General features: G+C 42.4%; 1 protein-coding gene across 2 annotated transcripts in view; it reads right to left on the reverse strand.

Annotated features, from left to right (window-relative positions):
* The window catches only part of ZNF124 (zinc finger protein 124), a 50,405-nt gene that overhangs the window by 7,126 nt on the left and 18,905 nt on the right, over positions 1 to 24,374 (reverse strand). Inside the window, exon 4 of one of the 2 annotated variants that reach the window (NM_001297567.2) lies at positions 9,045 to 9,657. The exons of the other annotated variant lie outside the window; for it this stretch is intronic. Within the exon in view, the coding sequence (NP_001284496.1) occupies positions 9,642 to 9,657 (16 nt within the window). The 3' untranslated portion in view covers positions 9,045 to 9,641. Of the gene's footprint in view, positions 1 to 9,044; positions 9,658 to 24,374 lie in introns of those variants that run through there. 2 annotated transcript variants of the gene reach the window in all.

Raw genomic sequence — 24,374 nt, forward strand, 5'->3', positions numbered from 1 at the left:
AGGGTGGACATTGAGTACTTCCCCCAGCAGGATGGGGTGGGAGGATTCAGGAGATGAGAGGGAGGGTGGGCATTGAGTACTTCCCCCAGCAGGATGGGGTGGGAGGATTCAGGAGATGAGAGGGAGGGTGGACATTGAGTACTTCCCCCAGCAGGATGGGGTGGGAGGATTCAGGAGATGAGAGGGAGGGTGGACATTGAGTACTTCCCCCAGCAGGATGGGGTGGGAGGATTCAGGAGATGAGAGGGAGGGTGGGCATTGAGTACTTCCCCCAGCAGGATGGGGTGGGAGGATTCAGGAGATGAGAGGGAGGGTGGACATTGAGTACTTCCCCCAGCAGGATGGGGTGGGAGGATTCAGGAGATGAGAGGGAGGGTGGGCATTGAGTACTTCCCCCAGCAGGATGGGGTGGGAGGATTCAGGAGATGAGAGGGAGGGTGGACATTGAGTACTTCCCCGAGCAGGATGGGGTGGGAGGATTCAGGAGATGAGAGGGAGGGTGGACATTGAGTACTTCCCCGAGCAGGATGGGGTGGGAGGATTCAGGAGATGAGAGGGAGGGTGGACATTGAGTACTTCCCCCAGCAGGATGGGGTGGGAGGATTCAGGAGATGAGAGGGAGGGTGGACATTGAGTACTTCCCCGAGCAGGATGGGGTGGGAGGATTCAGGAGATGAGAGGGAGGGTGGACATTGAGTACTTCCCCCAGCAGGATGGGGTGGGAGGATTCAGGAGATGAGAGGGAGGGTGGACATTGAGTACTTCCCCGAGCAGGATGGGGTGGGAGGATTCAGGAGATGAGAGGGAGGGTGGACATTGAGTACTTCCCCCAGCAGGATGGGGTGGGAGGATTCAGGAGATGAGAGGGAGGGTGGACATTGAGTACTTCCCCGAGCAGGATGGGGTGGGAGGATTCAGGAGATGGGATGGTCTGACTTGACCCTTGAGTCAGCCATGTCCGTGCTCGTCAGTACTGCTACTCGTTTGTCACCTTGAAAATACTTGTTCACTTATTTTAACTTCAGTTTTTCGCTGATTGAAAAATACATTTTATCAGTACAGCTTGAGAGATAATATTTTCAAAAGGCCAAGAAAGAGGTGTATATCAGAAAAATATTAGATATCTAGTCATATATTTCATTTGTTAAAAATTCTTAAATGGCTTTTTTCTTGCCCAGAGGGAGTGTAGTAAGTTTCACAGGTTTGTTCTTTTCTGGGGGTGGTTTCAACCCGAATTCCAGGGCTTAGCTTTGGGAATGCTACCAGGGAAAAATAGGGACACTGTCTTCCATTATGGCTGCAGAAAAATACGTTTTCACAAGAAAGTATACTCACTAACAGAAGCTCACTAAAGCATCAGTTCCACCTTTGTGCCGAGCGGAGATTCTGTGACAGTGGATGACTCTGTTTCCTGTTACCTGGATGTCCAAGTTTAATGGCAAATCTGTGGGTGGGGACTTGGCATTTTTAGATGTGTTAACATCGAAATAATTTCTTTATGAAATAATATGTTATCATGTAAATAATTACATGACTTGTTTATTGTATGAAAGGAATACTTCTGCTTTCCCTGTTGAGGTATGAAATGTAAGTGCCTTGCAATTTTATTCCCTCCAACATACATAAAAGCAGAGTTTGAGTGATTTTGCTGGACTCTTCAAACACTGAGTATTTTTTCATTTGAAACAAAGTGGGGGCCAAGCGCGGTGGCTCACGCCTGTAATCCCAGCACTTTGGGAGGCCGAGGTGGGCAGATCATGAGGTCAGGAGTTCAAGACCAGCCTGACCAACATGGTGAAACCTATCTCTACTAAAGATACGAAAAATTAGCTGGGCGTGGTGGCGTATGCCTGTAATCCCAGCTACTCGGGAGGCTGAGGCAGGAGAATCGCTTGAACCCAGGAGGTGGAGATTGCAGTGAGCTGAGATTATGCCATTGCACCCCAACCTGGGCGACAATCAAAACAAAACAAACAAACTAAAAAACTCATAATAAGCATGTGAATCCTTCACCAGCAACCAGGTTCTCTCATCAAAATTGACTAGAAGGATGGTGTGACCCATGGAGAGAAGGAAGAACAGTGTGGTGCTGCGGCCCACCTGAGAGCCAGGCGGGGAAGGGGAGCCTCCTCCTCCAGCCCAGGGAGGCAGTGAGTGAGTGCGCTACCCAGCTGGGGAAACTGCTATTTCCATGGAGCTGTGCAACCCACGGATTGGAAGATCCCACTCGCAAACCCACGCCACCGAGGCCTGCCGTCCCAACCCTGGAACGCCCAGATTCTTACAGCCTTTCAGCTGGAATCTACTTAAGCCTACCCAACTCCCAGGGGGAGGGGCAACCAGCACTGGCCGTGGCTGCCTGCTGTCTAAGCCATTTGAGTTCCTTGGGGAGGGGCAGCAGCCAGTACTGGGACTCCAACTGCCTAACGTGCTAAGCTCCCTGGACGGGAGGAGGTTGGCACCCATTTCTATAGCTCCAGGCTGCACTTTTCCCCTGCTTTAGCCAGGGAGGCTGTACAGCTAGGTCCCAAGACCTGTCCCTACAGCCCAATACACCGGCTGTGGCAGTTTGCAGCCAGAGTGCCTCTTCAGGCCTAATCCCTTCTTCATTGGGTGGGGCTTCCCTGGAGGGTCTCCAATAACTCCAGCCAGATGCTCAGGGACAGAATTTGGATCTCCCTAGGCCTGAGCCCCTAGGGGGAGGGGTGGCCGCAGTCTCTGCTGACCAGCAGACTTAGCCTCTCCTCCTGGTAGTTCTGAGGAATCTTGGCAGCCTAGGTGAGTGGGTTTCCCCCCAGTGAAGCACACCCTCTCCACCAAGGGACAAAGTCTTTCATTAAACGGGTCCTTTTCCCTGTGCCACCCAACTGGGTGAGACCCTCCAACAGGGGTTGTCAGACACCCTATTCAGGAGTGATGCTACTGGCATCCGGTTGGTGTCCCTTGAGGTAAGAAGTCCCAGAAGGAGGAGCAGGCACCCATCTTTGCTCTTCTCTAGCCTCCTTGAGTGGCATCTCCAGGCATGGGAGTGAATCAGATGAATACGCCTGAAGTGAACCCCCAGCAAACTGAGGCAGCCCTACAGAAGAGGGACCTGACTACTTAAAGAAAAACAAGCAAGCAGAAACTGACAACAGTGTCAACAACAACAACAAAAAAGGCCCTCAGAAAAACCCCATCCAAGAGCCAGCAGCCTCAAAACTGAAGCTAGACAAACTCACAAAGATGAGAAAGAATCAATGAAAAAATGCTGAAAACCCAAAAGGCCAGAGTACCTCTTCTCCTCCAAATGATCACAACATCTCTCCATCAAGGCCACAGAACTGGATGGAGGATCAGTTGGACAAACTGACAGAAGTAGGCTTCAGAAGATGGCTAATAAAAAACTACAATGAACTAAAGGAACATGTTCTAACCCAATGCAAAGAAGCTAAGAACCTTGATAAAAGGTTAGAATAAGGGAGGAGACCACCCCTCATATTGTCTTATGCCCAATTTCTGCCTCAAAAGAAAGAGTAAAAACTAAAAGCCAGAAATGAAATCCACAGGCAGACAGCCCGGTGCCACACCCTGGGCCTGGTAGTTAAAGATCGACCCCTGACCTAACCGGTTGTGTTATCTATAGATTCTAGACATTGCATAGAAAAGCACTGTGAAAATCCCTGTCCTGTTCTGTTCCGTTCTGATTACCAGTGCATGCAGCCCCCAGTCACATACCCCCTGCTTGCTCAATCAATCACGACCTTCTCACGCAGACCCCCTTAGAGTTGTGAGCCCTTAAAAGGGACGGAATTGCTCACTCAGGGAGCTTGGCTTTTGAGACGCAAGTCTGCTGAAGTTCCCAGCTGAATAAAGCTCCTTCCCTCTTTAACCCGGTGTCTGAGGAGTTTTGTCTGTGGCTCCTCCTGCTACAAAAGGAATTGCTAACTAGAATAACCAGTTTAGAGAAGAACACAAATGACCTGGTGGACCTGAAAAACACAGCATGAGAACTTCATGAAGCACACACAAGTATCAACAGCTGAATTGACCAAGTGGAAGAAAGGATATCAGAGTGTGAAGACCACCTTACTGAAATAAGACATTCAGAAAAGATGAAGACTGCCTTACTGAAATAAGACATGCAGACAAGAAGAGAGAAAAAAAAATGAAAAAGAATTAACAAAGCCTCCAAGGAATAAGGGACTTCATAAAAAGACTGAACTTATGATTGACTGGAGTACCAGCAGGAGACAGGGAGAATGGAAACAAACTGGAAAACACACTTCAGGATATTAGCCAGGAGAACTTCCCCAACCTAGCAAGACAGGCCAACATGCAAATTCAGGAAATACAGAGAACACCATTAAGATACTCCTCAAGAAGAACAACCCCAAGACACATAATCAGCAAATTCTCCAAGGTCAAAATGAAGGAAATACTGTTAAGGGCAGCCAGATAGAATGGCCAGGTCACCTACAAAGGGAAGCCCATCAGACTAACGGTAGACATCTCAGCAGAAACTACAAGCCAGAAGAGATAGGGAGCCAATATTCAATCAATATTCAATATTCTTTTTTTTTTTTTTTTTTGAGATGGAGTCTCACTCTGTCACCCAGGCTGGGGTGCAGTGGTGCGATCTCAGCTCACTGCAACCTCCACCTCCCAGGTTCAAGCGATTCTCCCACCTCAGCCTCCCAAGTAGCGGGGATTACAGGCATGCACCACCATGCCCGGCAAGTTTTTTGTGTTTAGTAGAGACAGGGTTTCATCATGTTAGTCAGGCTGGCCTCAAACTCCTGACCTCAGGTGACCCACCCACCTCGGCCTCCTAAAGTGCTGGGATTATAGGCATGAGCCACGGCGCCCAGCCTCAACATTCTTAAAGGAAAGAATTTTCAACTCAGAATTTCATATTCAGCCAAACTAAGTTTCATAAGTGAAGGAGAAATAAAATCCTTTCCAGACAAATGCTGAAGGATTTCGTTACTACCAGGCCCGTGCTGCAAGAGCTCCTGAAAGAAGCACTAAATACGGAAAGAAAAAACTGGTACCAGCCACTGCAAAAACACACCAAAATATAAAGACCAATGACACTATGAAGAAACTGCATCAACTAATGGGCAAAATAACAAAATAGCATCACGACAACAGGATCAAATTCACACATAATAATAATAACCTTAAATGTAAATGGGCTAAAAGCCCCAATTAAAAGACTTGGACTGGCAAATTGGATAACGAGTCAAGACTCATCAGTGTGCTGTATTCAGGAGACCTATCTTATGTGCAAAGACACACATAGGTTCAATATAAAGGGATGAAGGAATATTTACCAAGCAAATGTAAAGCAAAAAAAAGGCAGGGATTGCAATCCTAGTCTCTGACAAAACAGACTTGAAACCAACAAAGATCAAAAAAGACAAAAAAGGGCACTGCATAATGGTAAAGGGAACTATTCAACAGGAAGAGCTAACTATTCTAAATATATATGCACCCAATACAGGAGCACCCAGATGCATAAAACAAGTTCTTACAGACCTACAAAGGGAATTACACTCCTGTGTAATAATAGTATGAGATTTTAACACCCCACTGTCAGTATTAGATCAATGAGACAGAAAATTAGCAAGGATATCCAGGACTTGAACTCAGCTCTGGATCAAGTGACCTAGTAGATGTCTAAAGAACTCTCTACCACAAATCAATAGAATATACATTCTTCTCAGTGCCACATGGCACTTATTCTCAAATCAACCACATAATTGGAAGTAAGACACTTCTTAGCAAATGCAAATGAACTGAAATCATAATAGTCTCTCGGACCACAGTGCAATCAAATTAGAACTCAGGATTAAGAAACTCACTCCAAACCACACGATTTCATGGAAATCAAAAAACCTGCTCCTGAATGACTGCTAGGTAAATAATAAAATTAAAGCAGAAATCAAGAAGTTCTTTGAAACCAATGAGAACAAAGAGACAATGTACCAGAATCTCTGGGACACAGCTAAAACAATGTTAAGAGGAAAAATCATAGTACTAAATGCCTACATCAGAAAGCTAGAAGCAAGAGCAAACTATTCCAAAAGCTAGCAGAAGACAAGAAAGAACTAAGATAAGAACTGAAGAAGACAGAGACACAAAAAACCCTCCAAAAAAATCAACAAACCCAGGAGCTGGTTATTTGAAATAATTAACAAAATAGACCACTAGCTAGACTAATAAGAGAGAGAAGAATCAAAAAGATACAATAAAAAATGATAAAGGGAGTTATCACCACTGACCCCACAGAAATAAAAACTACCATCAGAGAATACTATAAACACTCAATGCAAATAAACTAGAAAATCTAGAAGAAATGGATAAATTCTTGGACTCCTACCAAGACTAACCCAGGAAGACGTCACATCCCTAAGTAGACCAATAACAAGCTCTGAAATTGAGGCAGTAATTAATAGCCTACCAATCAAAAAAAGCCCAGGACCAGATGGATTCACAGCAGAATTTTACCAGAAATACAAAGAGGAGCAGATACCATTCCTTCTGAAACTATTCCAAACAATTGAAAAGGAAGGACTCCTCCCTAACTCGTTTTATAAGGCTAGCATCATCCTGATACCAAAACCTGGCAGAGACACAACAAAAAAAGAAGACTTCAGGCCAATAACCCTGATGAACGTCAATGCAAAAATCCTCAAGAAAATACTGGCAAACTGAATCCAGCAGTACATCAAAAAACTTATTCACCACGATCAAGTTAGCTTCATTACTGGGATGCATGGCTGGTTTAACATGCAAATCAATAAACATAATCCATCAGATAAAGAGAACCAAAGACAAACACCACATGATTCTCTCAATATATGAAGTAAAGGCCTTCAATAAAATTCAACATCCTCTCATGTTAAAAACTCTCAATCAACGAGGTATTGATGGAACATATCTCAAAATAATAAGAGCTATTTATGACAACCCCACAGCCAATATCATACTAAATAGTCAAAAGCTGGAAGTATTCCCTTTGGAAACTGGTATAAGACAAGGATGACCTCTCTCACCACTCCTAAGTTCTGGCCAGGACAATCAGGCAAGAGAAATAAAAGGGTATTAAAATAGGAAGAGAGGAAGTCTGTTTGTAGATGACATAATTTTATATTTGAAAAACCCCATCATCTCAGCCCCAAAACGTTTTGAACTGATAAGCAACTTCAGCAAAGTCTCAGGATACAAAATCCCTGTGCAAAAATCACAAGCATTTGGTTACACCAATAGGCAAGCAGAGAGTCAAATCATGAATGAACTCCCATTCACAATCACTACAAAGAGAATAAAATACCTAGGAGTACAGCTAACAAGGGATGTAAAGGACCTCTTCAAGGAGAACTACAAACCACTGCTCAAGGAAGTAAGAGAGGACACAAACAAATGGAAAAAATTCCATCTTCATGGATAGGAATAATCAGTATCACAAAAATGGCCACACTGCCCAAAGTAATTTACAGATTCAGTGCTATTCCCATCAAACTACCATTGACATTCTTCACAGAATTAGCAAAAACTATTTAAAATTTCATGTGAAATTGGCCAGGCACAGTGGCTCATGCTTGTAATCCCAGCACTTTAGGAGGCCAAGGCGGGTATATCACTTGAGGTCAGGAGCTTGAGACCAGCTTGGCCAACATGGTGAAATTCCATCTCTACTAAAAATACAAAAATTAGCCAGGCGTGGTGGTGTGCACCTATAATCCTTGCTGCTGGGGAGGCTGAGGCAAGAGAATCACTTGATCCCAGGAGTTGGAAGTTGCAGTAAGCCAAGATCATGCCACCGCACTCTAGCCTGGGCAACAGAGTCAGACCCATCTCAAAAAAAAAAAAAAATTATATGGAGTCAAAGAAGACCCAATATACCCAAGACAATCCTAAGCAAAAAGAACAAAGCTGGAGGCATCATGCTACCTGACTTCAAACTATACTACAAGGCTACAGCAGCCAAAATAGCATGCTACTGGTACCAAAACAGATATATAGACCAACGGAGCAGAACAGAGACCTCAGAAATACCACCACACATCTAAAACCATCTGATCCTCGACAAACCTGACAAAAACAAGCAATGAAGAAAGGATCTCTGATTCAGTAAATGGTGCTAGGAAAACTAGCCAGCCATATGCAGAAAATGGAAACTGGACTGCTTCCTTATACCAAAATTAACTCAAGATGGGTTGAAGATTTAAATGTAAAATCCAAAACCATAAAAACCCTAGGAGAAAACCTAGGGAGGCCAGGTGCAGTGGCTCGTGCCTGTAATCCCAGCAGTTTGGGAGGCCAAGGTGGGTGGATCATGAGGTTAGGCATTCGAGATCAGCCTGGCCAACATAGCGAAACCCTGTCTCTACTAAAAATACAAAAAAAAAAAAAAAAAAAAAAAGAAAGAAAACCTAGGGAATATCACTCAGGACATAGGCGTGGGCAACTTCATGGCAAAAATGCCGACAGCAATTGCAACAAAAGCAAAAACTGACAAATTGGATCTAATTAAACTAAAGAGCTTATGCACAGCAAAAGAAACTGTCCTCAGAGTGAACAGGCAACCTACAAAATGGGAGAAAATTTCTGGAATCTATCCATCTGACAAAGGTCTAATATCCAGAATTTACAAGGAACTTAAATATATTTACAAGAAAAAACAAAAAACTCATCAAAAAGTGGGCAAGGGATATGAATAGACACTTCTCAAAAGAAGACATTTATGCATCTAACAAACACATGAACAAAAGCTCAACATCACTGATCATCAGAGAAATGCAAATCAAAACAATGAGATACCATCTCATGCCAGTCAGAATGGTGATTATTAAAAAGTCAGGAAACAATAGATGTTGGTGAGGCTGTGGGGAAATAGGAACGCTTTTACACTGTTGGTGGGAATGTAAATTAGTTCAACCATTGTGGAAGACAGTGTGGCGATTCTTCAAGGATCTAGAACCAGAAATACCATTTGACTCAGCAATCCCATTACTGGGTATATACCCAAAGGAATATAAATCATTCTACTATAAAGACACGTGCACACGTATGTTTATTGCAACATTATTTACAACAGCAAAGACATGGAACCAACCCAAATGCCCATCAATGATAGACTGGATAAAGAAAATGTGGTGTATATATATATGTGTATATATATACCATAGAACACTATGTAGACATAAAAAGGAATGAGATCATGTGCTTTGCAGGGACATGGATGAAGCTGGAAGTCATCATCCTCAGCAAACACAGGAACAGAAAACTAAACACTGCACGTTCTCACTCATAAGTGAGAGCTGAACATTGAGAACACATGGAAACAGAGGGGGAACAACACACACCAGGGGCTGTTGGGGGTTGGGGGGTGAGGGGAGGGAACTTAGAGGACAGGTCAATAGGTGCAGCAAACCACCGCGGCACATGTATACCCATGTAACAAACTCACATGTTCTACACGTATCCCGTTTTCGTTTGTTTTAGAAGAAATAAAACATAAAAATTCTGGACTAATTTAAAATGAACAATTCTCCGATCAATCACATGGCAATTCCTTGCCCCAAGAGTGCAGAGAAAGAAAGGTACATACATAGACCCAAAACTTACTAGAGTAGAAACCCATAAGCACATCTTCATGAACCAGTACATCTGTAGGAAAATTGAAAGTGTAATTGGCAAATTGTTTAAAGCTGAGTGTGAACATGATTGACAGTAACAAATAACTGGAAATGTCAAGCTGGGAACTGCTTAGGGCAAACCTGCCTTCCGTTCTACTCAAAGTTAACCCTCTGCTCACTGAGATCAATGCATATCTGACTGCCTCATTTTGGAGAGGCTAGTCAGAAACTCAAAAGAATGCAACCATTGTCTCTTATCTACCGATGACCTGAAAGCTCCCTCCCGACTTCAAGTTGTCCTGCTTTTGCTTTGAGTTGTCCTGCCTTTCTGGACTGAACCGATGTTCATCTTACATATGTTAATTGATGTCTCATGTCTCCCTAAAATGTGTAAAACCAAGCTGTGCTCCGATCACCCTGGGCACATGTTGTCAGGACCTCCTGGGGTTGTGTCATGGATGCGTGTCCTCAACCTTAGCAAAATAAACTTTCTAAATTACTGAGACCCATCTCAAATTTTCACGGTTCACACCACTATGTAATACCCTTGTTGTTTTAAATCTTTATTGGTTTAAATCTGTTTTGTCAGAAACTAGGATTGTAACCCCTGCTTTTCTGTTTTCCATTTGCTTGGCAGATTTTTCTCCATCTCTTTATTTTGATCCTAGGTCACTGCATGGGTCTCTTGAAGGCAACATACCATCAGGTCTTGCCTTCTTATGGAGCTTGCCATTGTGCGCCTTTTAAGCAGGGCATTTAGCCTGTTTACATTCAAGATTAGTATTAATATGTGTGGATTTGATCCTGTCATGTTGTTAGCTGGTTATTATGCTGACTTGTTTGTGTGGTTGCTTTATAGTGTCACTGATCTGTGTATTTAAGTGTGTTTTTGTATTGGCTGGTAGCAGATTTTTCTTTCTATATTTAGTGCTCCTTTCAAGATCTCTCATAAGGCAGGTCTGGTGGTAATGAACTCCCTCAGCATTTGCTTGTCTGAAAAGGATCTTATTTCCCTTTCACTTAGGAAGCTTAGTTTGGCTGGGTATGAAATTCTTGGTTGAAGATTTTTTTCTTTAAGAATGTTGAATATAGGCCCTGAGTCTTTTCTGGCTTATAGGGTTTCAGCTGAGAGGTCTGCTGTTAGCCTGATGGGGTGACCTTTGTAGGTGACCTGCCCTGTATAGCTGCCTTTAACAGTCTTTCTTTTATTTTGACCATGGAAAATCTGATTATTGTGTGTCTTGGGGATGATTTTATTGTGTAGAATCTTGCAGGGGTTCTCTGGTTTCCCTGAATGTGACTGCTGGCCTCTCTACCAAGGTTGGGGAAGTTTTCGTGGATGATATCCTAGAATGTTTTCCAACTTGTTTGCTTTCTTCCCATCCCTTTCAGGGATGCCAATAATTCATAGATTTGGCCACTTTACAAAATACCATATTGCTCAGAAGTTTTGTTATTTTTTATTCTTTTTAATTTTTCTGACTGTCTTATTTCAGAGAGCCAGTCTTCATGTTCTGAGAGTCTTTCCTCCACTTGGTCTATTCTGCTGTTAATACTTGTGACTGCATTATGAAATTCTTGTAGTGTGTTTTTCTGCTCTGTCAGAACCATCAGGCTCTTTTTTATATCAGTTATCTTGTCTTTCAGCTCCAGTGATTCTTAGTTTTTTTGGATTGGGTTTTGCATTTTCCTGAATCTTGATGATCTTAATTCCTATCCATATTCTAAATTCCATTTGTCATTCCAGCCAGCTCAGCCTGAGTAAGAACCCTTGTTGAAAAACTGGTGTGGTCATCTGGAGGACATACAACACTCTGGCCATTTGAGTTACTGGAGTTCTTTCATTGGTTCTTTCTCATGTCTGCAGGTGGGTGTTCCTGTAACTGCAGTGTAGATTGAGTACAGTCAGTACACTTTTTTTTCTGGATGTCTTCGCAGAGCCAAGGCTTTGTGCAGGGTCTTCATTTGTAGCTGACTTGTCTTTGGTCTCACAGAGGGGAATGCTAGCAAGGTGTTTTTGGTGTTGGAACTTCGGGATGTGATCCAGTAGGTGGTGCTTAGGCATACTGGTTAGTTGGTAGGCTCTTGCTTGGTCATGTGGCTCCCCTATATTTTCTGACAGTTGCAGTCATGCTCCCTCTCAATGTTCTGAAAGTGTGGGCTTCTCTCCCACTTGAATGCTGGCTATAAATTGTGGCTTGGCACTCTTGGGCTGCCCACCACAGCTCTGGGGCACTCTCAGGGCTTATGTTCCTCCCCTGGCTTGGAGGCAGCAGAGGAAGGGACCTTAATAGTGGTTGTGGCCAAAGGTCTTTTGCTTGTCTCCTGGGGGCTCCACCCAAGAGGAGCCGGTTAGCAATTGCTAAGTGCAATCAGCCCAGAACGGAGGGTCTGTGCTGTGGGACCAAGCCCAGGGTTTCCTATCTGGTGACAAGCAGGGGGAGTGGGTGGAACCTGTGGGAGATGAACTGGTCTCCTCTCCTTGGGTCAACTGCAGTTTGTTGTAGGTGTGGATAAGGCACTTATGGTATTTGTTCATTCATTTGTCTGAGGATAGCAAGGGCAGTTCCACTGCAGACAGCGGTAGCAAGGCTTTTGTTTGCTCCTGGGGGCTCCACCTCCAAGAAATGCAGAACCATAGTTACTGGGGGTGTTCAGCTGGTGGGTGGGGCACCTGCACTGCTGGCATAAGCTTGGGGTTCTGCTTGTTGGGGAGCAATGGGATGAAGGCTCACAGGGAGAAAAGACTAGTCTCTCGGTATGGTGGCTGTGGTGGTATGCTGTTAAGCTTGGGTGTAGCTCTCAGGTTCTTTGTTTCTTCCCCAGACCAAAGGCAGCAGGGATAGAACTATTACTGTGGCAATGGCAGAGGGGCTGTCATATGCCTCTGGGAGCCTCTCCATGGGGAAACTCTGGGCCACTACTGGTGGGTATGCTCAGCCATGGGAGAGGTGACTGTTCTGTGTTCATGAGCTGGGGGCCCTACAGCAGCAAAACTGAGAAGACCTGTGATGCCTGCCATAGTGGATCCCCAAGGGTCCGCACTGGGTGCAGCAAGCAGCCCATATCTCAGTCCCCAGGAGACCACCTGCTGCCAGTTCTGAAAAGCCTGGTGACCTCTATGGTAAGTCTGAGGCCATTTATCAAGACCTAGTTCAGACACAAGCACAGTAGGTCCATTCTCTGCTGACCTGGGAGCAGCTCTCTTAGCTTGCCAGCTCTGGGGGCCTCTGTGCTGCAGTGCAGAACTTCTACACCATGGACTCCCAGGTGGCCTGGGTTCCCTGCTGAGGGCTGGGAATCTCAGCCACCCTGACTTGTGCCAGGGTCCAGCCCTGGCTGGAGAAGTCCAGAGCTCCTTCTGGGAGAAAGATAGGACCAGCCCTTTTTTGGACCAAAGGTAACTCAGCCTATCTATAGATGAGATGAAGCTTGACCTGGGGGTCTCCTGACCCTATTCAGCAAAGAAAACAGGTCTGGGAGTGAAAACAAAGACTTGCTGCTTCTCAGATTCTTCTGGATGACCAGCAGTGACAACTTTAGACACACCATGTTAATAACAGAACCTGTGGTGGTTGTAGAAAAGGAATTTGAACAATATACTGAAAATGGTAAACCCAGTTTTCTTTAAGGCTGATTACTGACAAATTTTGTATTTCATATAAGACATCTGATGTCTTTTGGCTGTCTTATGACAGTCATGCATTTCTGTAAATCAGAAAATATTATTAGGGTGTAATCATTCATATATGTTTGTATATTAAAAAGAGTAGCAAAATGAATATATATTTATATCTTCCCCACTTGAACTCAGAAAAGGCTGTAGCTCTTCACTCTCCCAGGCCGAGTCCTCAGAAGATTGATATTCACCAACCTTTAATAGCATTCTCTCTGGAGAAATGCTTCTATTTTTTCAGTTTGATGAAATCACCATGCCATTGTTTTTACTTTTCATTTTCTTACACAGAATCTAAGACAAGGTATATTAAATGCTTAATGATCCTATTCTTCACCTGGCTCATATCATTTACCTAATTTTAAACTTTCTTCTACTCTAAAAATTTCAATTCATCTTATGTATTGTAGAAGATTTTAAATCTAATACAGGTATTGTCTTTTTTTTTTTTTACATATATTCTATTGGCATTTTACACTGGGATCATGGAATATTTCATTATGTAAATTATTTAATTTTTATGTAGAAAAAAGAAAATTATTTTGGTGTTTGTTTTGTTCTTTGCTCTATAATTTCCATTACATACTGATTAGATAATTTTTTGAGTATTTTAAATTTTAGGTAATTATGCATTTTATCCATAAAGAATCTGCATGTGAGAGAGAGAGCTATTTTCTCCTCACTTCTATTTCATCTCCATCCTGACCTCCCCAGAATCCTCAGCTCTTTGTGTAGTTGGATAGCAGTTTATAATTCCAGTAAATGGGCCTAATTCAATAATATACCACAAATCAGTTTGAAACCAGGACATGCCTTCAAGACACACCCAAATGCCTATATATATAATAATACTAAGTTACAATTGATGTAAAAAATAAAATTACAAAAGGATTGTTAAAGTAAATTCAAAGGGACATCAGGCCTAAAAAATCCCTGAGGAAATGTGTGATCAGAGGCTTTCCCAGGCACACACTGCTCTACAGCCCTACCACACAGGCTTAACCGAGAATTTGACCCCGGAAGGTGACGGATGAACATGTGTCCTGGTATTCTGATCTACAGAAATCCTGCCCTCTCTTAATGATCCATCCAGAGCTCTAGGATCGTTTCTAGATTTATTTACTACACACAGACTGGAAGTTTTTGACAGAAGCTTTGAACTGGGAACCCTACCCTGTTCCACCAGCTTCTCTAGAAGTACAATGTTCTAATTACTCCTGAGAGACTCCATCTGAGGGTAACTCTCTGAGCCAACAAGATTTAAAGTGAGAAGAGGAAAAAGGCAAGAGTCGGGCTATGTCTAGGATTCCCTTACCTGACTTATGTCTTTGGTTTACCCAAGTATTGATAAGATTCGTCTCTAGATGGTAGAAACTAGATGGAGGAGCACTAGCTCACAGAAGTAGACAATGGGATCAGTGCTCCATAGATCCAGCTTAAGCTCAGCCATGAGATACTAAGTCTCTCAGAAAAAAAAGTAACAGTTCTCCATCATCTACCCCCGTAGCCTCAGACAGCTAGGCAGTAAGCATGCATGCTCAATAAAACTCCACATCCACATCACAGAGAGAGATAGAACAATCCCAAAGGACCGTGAAGGGTGATGTGGAGAGACCAAAAGGATATGAACCCACAGCATCTGCCCTACCATCTGCTCCAATACTAACCCTGTCCTTTCCCAACATGATTTCCAGATTTTTCTTTGGCCCTCACTAAGGGTGATTCAGAAAGACAAAAAGTTATTAATGCCCTTCCATTCTCCATATCTCCTGAGGTCTCAGTTGTTTACTCTGCGGGTTTCGGGTAGCTATCCCTCCCCAACTACATCCACAAAATTAGTGTATCTCATTCAGCACCAAGAATTTCACCTTTATTCTGGTCACTCCCTACCTTCTCCTAGACATTTTATCTAGAAAAGCCAGATGAAATAGCGACAAAAATGTTTACATAAAACTCAACCACAACTAAGTTGGAGTATCATAATCCCACTTTGGGCTAGGTTGCCACTCAGCCTACTACAAACTAGGCTTGGGGCAGTTAGGGGAAAGCTAGGGTTTAGAGCTGATGTGAAAGTCAGCTAAAAGCTTGCTACCGAGCCCCTGTCAAGCTGAATCCTAACCCAAGGAGGACTGAGGGCTGCGTAGCTTTATATTCCACTTTTGAGGTGGGTGTCAGCTAAAAGCTTGCTACAGAGCTCCTGTCAAGCTGAATCCTAACCCAAGGAGGACTGAGGGCTGTGTGGCTTTATATTCCACTTTTGAGGTGGGTCAATTTGAACTCTCTGAAAGCCCGCAAAAGACTAGCTCTAAACCCTAGTCTAGTACAAACTAAGCTAGGGTTGCATTTAGCGGAAAGGAAGATTATCTTTTCTTTCTTTCTTTTTTTTTTTTTGAGACAGAGTCTCGCTCTGTCTCCCAGGCTGGAGTGCAGTGGCCCGATCTCAGCTCAATGCAACCTCCGCCTCCCAGGTTCAAGCAATTCTCCTGCCTCAGCCTCCTGAGTAGCTGGGACTACAGGCGTTCGCCACCATGCCTGGCTAATTTTTGTATTTTTAGTAGAACCGGGGTTTCACCATATTGGCCAGGCCGGTCTCGAACTCCTGACCTTGTGATCCACCCGCCTCGGCCTCCCAAAGTGCTGGGATTACAGGCGTGGGCCACTGCGCCTGGCCAGTGAGATGCATCTTTTCAGGTAGTCAGTGTGGAATCTCAAATTTGGGAAACAGATCTCTACAGCTCTCAACCATTTCATTCTTATCCTGGAGGCAGTCAAAAAGAGATTATTCCTTTTTAGAAAGAATTACATTCAGTCAACAAATTGTAACATATGGATCAGGAGAAGGAAAAGATGGTAAAATCAGCCAATTTTTAGTAGATTTGATGATAAAAGACACAACGTTGTCAGAGTGCAAATGGTTCTGAAATTTGAAAAGGTGACAGAGATTAGTTTCAAGGGACACATGGTGTGTCTGGAGTCAGTTTTTATGTTGATGGTGTGAGCAGTGACAAGGTATTAACAATACCTTCCAAAGTGAGTCAAAAGGTCGGTGAAGTCATTCTATTGAGAACGGTCGGGGGCCTCCCACACTGTGAGACAAAAAGATCACCTTTCACCAAGAACCACAAGTCTGGCTGCAGTGCTGCCCTCAGCATTAGACATGGATTCAGATTCAATCCACAGCCTGGTTATAGTCAGTCTCTTCAGAGAACAGGCTCTTATTAAAAACTTCTGTTTTTTTTTTTTTTGACGGAGTTTCACTCCTGTCGCCCAAGCTGGAGTGCAGTGGTGCATTCTCGGCACAGTGCAACCTCTGTCTCCTGGGTTCAAGCGATTCTCCTGCTTCAGCCTCCCGAGTAGCTGGGATTACAGGCGCCTACCACCATGCTTGGCTAATTTTTGTATTTTTAGAAGAGACAGGGTTTCACCATGTTGGCCAACTCAAACTCCTGACCTCAGGTGATCCACCAGCCTCAGCCTCCCAAAGTGCTGGGATTACAGGCGTGAGCCACTGCGCCCGGCCAAAGACTTGTAATTGAGTGACTGGACACAGCAGTAAATCAGCTGCTGAGGTTATTTCCAGTTTGCAGCCTGAAAGGTTTCCTTTTTTCAGACAGTCTATAGTTTTTAATGCAAAAGACCAAACAGCTATAATGTGAGCAATGACCCTGAGTTCTGACCATTGAGTGGTGTGACCACCCCACTCAGGTTCCGCATGGCTGACACTGAAGTTCAGAAGCCACCATAGACAGTAGCTCAGTGAACACCATGTATTGGTAAAGCAGGGACAGAAATTTAGGGAATACTTAGTGAAGTGGGGGCCCCATAGAGCCAGAAGCTTTGCTTCATATAGTGCAGCAGGGCATAAAATTTCCACCAAAGATAGATTCCGATTTTCCCTTTAGAACTATTTCTGTGCCAGTCCAATTTCCTTCTAGAATACATTATTTATATTTAACAAGTAGTCTTTTGAGGTCTTTCATAAGAGTTCAAATTGACCCACCTCAAAATTGGAATACAAAGCTAGGCAGCCCCCAGCCCTCCTTGAGTTTGGATTCAGTTTGACTGGAGTTCTGTAGCAAGCTTATAACTGACTTTCACATTAGTGTAACCTGCAGTGGTGTCAGGGTGGCTATGAGTCAGACACCCCAAAGAATATCTTTAGGTGCAGGCTCTTTTTGTCAAAGGCCTCAAATGGCAAAGTGATCAAGTTTTTCTTGACTGCTGGAAGAATTAAGCAATGAAAATATGTCCACTTAGCTTCACTAAACCTTATTTGGAAAGCAGAACTCTGGGTTTTTTTCAGGTCTTCTTGTTATTGAGAAAACAGTGCTTACTATCCAATGTGCTAAGAGCCAATACATTGAGTTGTCACTGGATTTTTGTTTTTGAGACAAGCTTTATGTTGAAAGTTCACTCCCAAAGAGACAGGAGTCCCAAGCCCGAATCTGTCTCCCTCTGCTGGCATCAAGGCAGAATTTCTACTAGAACAGGTACCGGGGGGTAGCTTCTGAGGTTAGGAGGTGACTAGCGGATGATAATGGGAGGTCTGGAATGTCCATGGGCATGCCCAGTTATCTCTTCATGCTTCCTCATGGGTCATATGTGCAAATTTGGGGGGAGTTAGTAGGAAACATAGTGGAAATTCAGGCTATGATGTCAGCAAGCTCATTCTGTGCAGAGTCCCATTGGTTCTATTGGTTTAAACCAATTTCAGCTAATTACTTTTATCTCGTAAGTGGAGGGAATTTCAGTGTTTTAGCAAGTTTTTTTTTTTTTTAATTTGCCATCCTGTAAACTCAAGGATTTCTGTTAGTCATTGGCTTAACTTTTTTTTTTTTTTTTGAGTCGGGGTCTTGCTCTGTTGCCCAGGCTGGAGTCCAGTGGCACGATCTCAGCCCACTGCAACCTCCGCTTCCTGGGTTCAAGCCATTCTCCTGCCTCAGCCTCCAGAGTAGCTGGGATTACAGGCATGCACCACCATGCCTGGCTAATTTTTGTATTTTTATTAGAGATGGGGTTTCACCATATTGGCCAGGCTGGTCTCGAACTCCTGACCTCGTGATCCACACGGCTCGGCCTCCCAAAGTGCTGAGATTACAGGCGTGAGCCACTGCGCCTGGCTGCTTCTTTAACTTTTTGAAGCACAGTCTCAATTATCAGCTACATCTACTAGCAGAGAGATATTACTATTCTAGACAGGAGCACTGAGACAGACACCTCTGTCTTTGCAGCTAACAGCTCATGCAGGGTGAACATTTTGCATATCAGAGTGTAAAGGTTCTCATGATAAAGACTGACCTGCCCTCTGTGGCAAATGGAGAATTCTGTCTCTCTCACACTCTTCTACCTGTCTCCCACCCAGACTGGAATAATCCCCTCCGGCACTTAGGGGACAGGGAAGCACAAACACATACAACAAAATTCTAACTGTAAATTTTGGTGTAGAAACACAAGAAGACATTGAGTTAGCCCCAAAGGCCCCACCTCCATTGTTTTGTGACATTTCTGCTTTCATGGTGAACCCTGCCCAAGCCCTGTCAGTGAAGTTTTGGTATCAGCGAGTACATAGAGAGAGAGAGATTCTCTGCTTATAAGCAAGGCACCAACACCCACATTTCCTTTTAGTTTCTAGCAGCCTGTTGACTGCTTTCAGCAAAACCACAAGAACTTACAGTATTTTCTATTTATCCAAAGTGCTCTATCAGCTTTGTGGACTCCTCATTCTTTCCTACTTTGGCTAGGAGAATGAACATATGAGCACATTTAGACTGCTCCTTTCAATTCTCCCTCTCACACAACAACCTCGCTAACAGGTTGGCGAGTGGAGGGATCTTACTCTTACTCAACTCTCATTTGGGTAAGAGAATTTGCTACTTGTTCCAGGAAGCCTTCTCATAAGCCCTGGCCAGGTCTGTGAAGAATCTTTCTACTTTCCTCTTATACCAGGTTATAAGGTTATAGATTTATCAGAATCAATCGCATCATCACCCAAGCTGTCAAAAATGTGAACATTCGTGGATTTTTTTCTATTTGCAAGCCAAAAAATGAAGACTGTCAACTTCATGGATATTAGAAGAAGGCATGAGATTCCTAGGCCTGATGAAAAATATTTGATGGTTCATCACACAAATGGAAGCAAGAGCTCCATATCTGTATCTGTTCCCCACGTCCACTCCAAGTGACAGGGATGATCAAAGAGACCCAACTGGATGCTTTCTGCTCAGTAGATTTTGATCACAGCTGAGGAATCTCAAGGTTAAGAAATCCCAGTGCTTTGGCAGGGCACGGTGGCTCACGCCTGTAATCCCAGCACTTTTGGAGGCCGAGGCGGGCAGATCACGAGGTCAGGAGATTGAGACCATCCTGGCTAACACGGTGAAACCCCGTCTCTACTAAAAATACAAAAAAAAAAAGAAAATTAGCCAGGTGTGGTGGCGGGTACCTGTAGGCCCAGCTACTCTGGAGGCTGAGGCAGGAGAATGGCGTGAACCCAGGAGGTGGAGCTTGCAGTGAGCCGAAATTGTGCCACTGCACTCCAGCCTGGGTGACAGAGTGAGACTCCGTCTCAAAAAAAAGAAAAAAAAAACAAATCCCAGTGCTTTAACATGTGTTTCAAAGAAAACCTTCCAACCACTGCCTCAGAGAAAGGCATAATCTTTATTAAATTGTCCAGGTATTTATTTGGCCTTTGACCTGAAGATACACATCCTTCAAGTCTGTTTCTTTCATTTAAAAAAATCCTGAAAAAGACAGCCCAGAAGAAACGCTTATACAAGATGTGGGAAAATGAAGTGAGAGATCCATGAAGAATTGTCTTCCAAAAGGGAGCAACATTCCCTTACATGTATGAGAATATTGATACAGCCATTATAAAAAACCGTAAGGTGGCTCATCACAATATTAAACTAGAACTACCATATTATCCAGCAAGCCCACTTCTGGGATTATATCCAAAGGAAATAAAATCAGTATCTCAGAGAGACTTCTGCAATCCCAGGTTTATTGCAGCATTTTCCACAATAGCCAAAGACACGGAAACAACCTAAATGCTCATTAATAGATGAATGGATACAGAAATTGTGATACACACACGCAATGAAATATTATTCAGCCATAAAAAAGAATAAAGTCATTTGTGAAAATATGAAGCTGGAGAATATTAAGTAAAATAAGTCAGACACAGAAAGACAAATGTTATATGATCTTACTTATAGATGGAGCTTAAAAACATTGAACTCGTAGAAACAGACTACATAGTGGTTTCCAGGGGCCAGAAGGTAGGGGAAATGGGGAGACATTGCTGAAAAGGTACAAACTTTCAGTTATAAGATGAATAAGTTCTGGCATTCTAATGTACAGCACGGGTGGCAATAGATGTTGTCTCAGTCCCTTCCTGCTGCTTTAACAAAATACCTGACTAGGTAGTTTATACATGACATAAACTCAATTGCTTACAGTTATATAGGCTGGGAAGTGCAAAATCAAGCCATTGGCAGACTGTCTCTGGTGAAGACCTTGGTCTCTGCTTTCAAGATGACATCCTGAATGTTATGTTCACAGACAGCAGAGGGGCAGAAAGGGCAGAACTCACTCCCTCAAGTCCTTTTATGAAGTCATTCATCTCAATGATGAGGGCACAGCCTTTATGACCTCACCACCTCCTAAAGGCCCCCACCTGTTAACACTATTGTTTTGGAGTTTAAAGTTTCAACATGAATTTAGGCGGAGGACAAACTTTTAAGTCACGGCAGATGATACTGATTTTGTAACAATTACCACACAATGTGTATTTGGAGATATCTTGAATATATCCAATATTATCTGTCAACTAATATTTTAAAATTAAACATACAAATAAATAAAATATGAAAATAACTTATCCATTGAGCAAAAAAGGCCCACTGAAGATTTCTGACCAAAACTACCATTGACTCTTTGGTGCTGTGGGGCTGCTGAAAACTGAAAGATGAAGAAAATAACAGAATTATACAGTCTTCACAGAAAAGTCAGCTCTGAGGGTGAGATATTAACTTGGGTGAGACAATGACAGGTGACAGCAAATGAAAAAGAATTCATTATATTTTGTTAGCTTACTGGAAAAAAATAAAATTACTAGTCATAAATCTCAATTCTGAATCAACTGCAAAATCAAATTTTAAATATACATCCTGATTAAAAAAACAAAAACAGCATCTCTGTGGCCTTAAAATAGAGAAAGATTTCTTAAATAAAACAAAAAACATTTAATATGCTGGGGAAAGAACAAATAAAATTCTATTAAAATTAAGACCTTATCAAAATACAGAATAAATTATATTTTGTTAGCTTACTGGAAAAAATGGAATTCCTAGCCACAAAAACACTCAATTATGAATGAATTGCAAAATAAAAATTTAAATATACATCCTCATTTAAAAAACAAAATCTCTGTGGCCTTAAGAGAAATATTTCTTAAATAAAAAATATTTAATATACTGGGAAAAATAACAAATAAAATTTTATTAAAATTAAGAGCTTATTAAAATACAGAAAGAGAGAGACTGAGTGAGAGAGATACCAAAGAAAGGAATCCTATCCAGCTTCATGTAAAGAACCACCATAAATCAAGAAGAAAAAGAGCCCTAAAATAGCGGGAGATGAGCAAAGTAAGTCTTCAAAATAGAGGTTATTCAATAACTAAAAAGTGTGCTGAAATGTTCAAGTCTGTTAGTAATCGGAGAAATGTAAATAAAGCCTGAGACCATCACACAGCAACCAGAAGACTAAATGAAAATGACAGAAAATACCATGTGTTGGGCTGGGCGCGGTGGCTCACGCCTGTAATCCCAGCACTTTGGGAGGTCGAGGCGGGCGGATCATGAGGTCAGGAAATCGAGACCATCCTGGCCAACATGGTGAAACCCCATCTCTACTAAAAATACAAAAAATTAGCCGGGCGTGGTGGCGGGCGCCTGTAGTCCCAGCTACTCGGGAGGCTGAGGCAGGAGAATGGCGTGAACTCGGGAGGCGGAGCTTGCAGGGAGCCGAGATCGCGCCACTGCACTCCAGCCTGGGTGACAGAGTGAGACTCCGTCTCAAAAAAAAAAAAAAAAACCATGTGTTGGCAAGGATGTGGGTACCCTAGGAAATTCACACGTTACTTGTTGGCATGAAAAGTGTTACAAGTAAAAAGTGGTACAATTTTGGAAAACTGGTAATATCACCTACAGCTGAAGAGACGTAAACATACAACACAACAATGTGATTATTACACATGTTCCCAACAGAAATTTGTACATGTTTCACCAATACCAATACATTTTCTGGAATTTACATAGCAGCCCTGTTCCTAATACCCTCAACTAAAACACATGCATATGTGCATCAGCACGGAGTGATTAATTGTCTGATATTCACACAACAGAATTCAATGCTAAAAAAAAAAAACCAAAACAACATGCAGAATTACCGAAAAACTCAAAACAACCTACTGGATTTTAAAAGCCATGTACAAAAGGGCTCCTGCTGCATGATGTTTATATAAAGTATAAAAGAGGAAAGTGACCTATGCTGTTAGAGATCAATATAGTGTCCATCCCTGAGAATAAGTGACTGGGATCACAAGGTGGTATCTGGTGGTATCTTTGGGCTAAAAATGTTCCCCACCCCCCGCTTTTTTTTTTTTTAAGATCTAAAAAGCCTCAGACAAAACTGTCCCCAATATTTAAAACTATATGGTGCTATCCACTTAGGACATGTGCATGTATCTTTAAATATTTTAAATACATGTAAGAATTTTTGTTTTAAGTTGAAGGATGCTAAATAGAGTATTGCTGCCCACAGGGCACAGGTATTAAGTTGCTTGACACTGCGACAGTGTTTAAAAGTAAGCTACAATTTCTAGGTTAAAAACAAAAATAAAACAAAATATAAATAAATATAATAAATAACTATATATGTAATTATATATATATGAGGGAAAAGTAGAATTCTATTAAAATTTAGTACAAAAGATAAAAAGAAAACAGAGTAGGTATTGTGAACGCAGCAACGCAATAAACCCAGTCCCAAATATATCCATTATAATATTCAACAAAATAGACTAATTATTCCTATTAAAGACAAATATTACCTGATTGTATATAGTTGGATAAATTAACCACGAATTACCTAGTACAGTGATATGTTAAATATAATAGACTTTATGGTAAATCATTGTCATTGTAATTACTATTGCTTTTACATTCTTAATGTGCAATTTTTCAGGATTACTGCTTGATAGATAAGCATAATCTGGGTGTCACACAGAAAAACAATCACACCGTTATGTCCAGATAATGTATTTATGTATGTGAGTATATACTGTCAGTTTCTTGTAATGTTACTATTTTGTAATTATGTTTACAGTTCTATGGAGATGAGTGAATAAACATATGAGCACTGAACAAACATATACAACCCATGTACTTCTGAGAAGATTAAGGGATTTTAAAATTACTTATCTAGCTTTGGGAGGCCAAGGCGGGCGGATCACGAGGTCAGGAGATCAAGACCATCCTGGCTAACACGGTGAAACTCCAACTCTACTAAAAATACAAAAAATTAGCTGGGTGTGCTGACGGGCACCTGTAGTTCCAGCTACTCGGGAGGCTGAGGCAGGAGAATCGCTTGAACCCGGGAGGTGGAGGTTGCAGTAAGCTGAGATTGCGCCACTGCACTCCAGCCTGGGCAACAGAGTGAGACTCCATCTCAAAAAAAAAAAAAAGGTCAAATAAAATCCAATACTCTGCACTGACCATTAGTTTCACCCTTAGAAATGTTACTTGATTTTTTTCAATTATTAAAAGGTTTCCAACATGTAAATGTACACCAGTTAAAGTGTCCCTGCAATGTATTCATCACTGTTGTGATGAGCAGCCATGTAGTAACTTTCTATTCTTCACAAATCTGTGAGGTAGGTGCTGCCATTATCAGGATGAGAACTTAAACATCGAGAGGGTAAGTCATTTGTCTAAATTCAGACACTGGACAGGAGTAGAGTGGGGACTTGATCCTGTCTGGACTGAAGTCACGGAGTGCCTTTAACTGACATG

Source organism: Homo sapiens, chromosome 1 (genome assembly GCF_000001405.40).
Source record: "Homo sapiens chromosome 1, GRCh38.p14 Primary Assembly".
NCBI classification, from domain to species: Eukaryota; Metazoa; Chordata; class Mammalia; order Primates; family Hominidae; genus Homo; species Homo sapiens.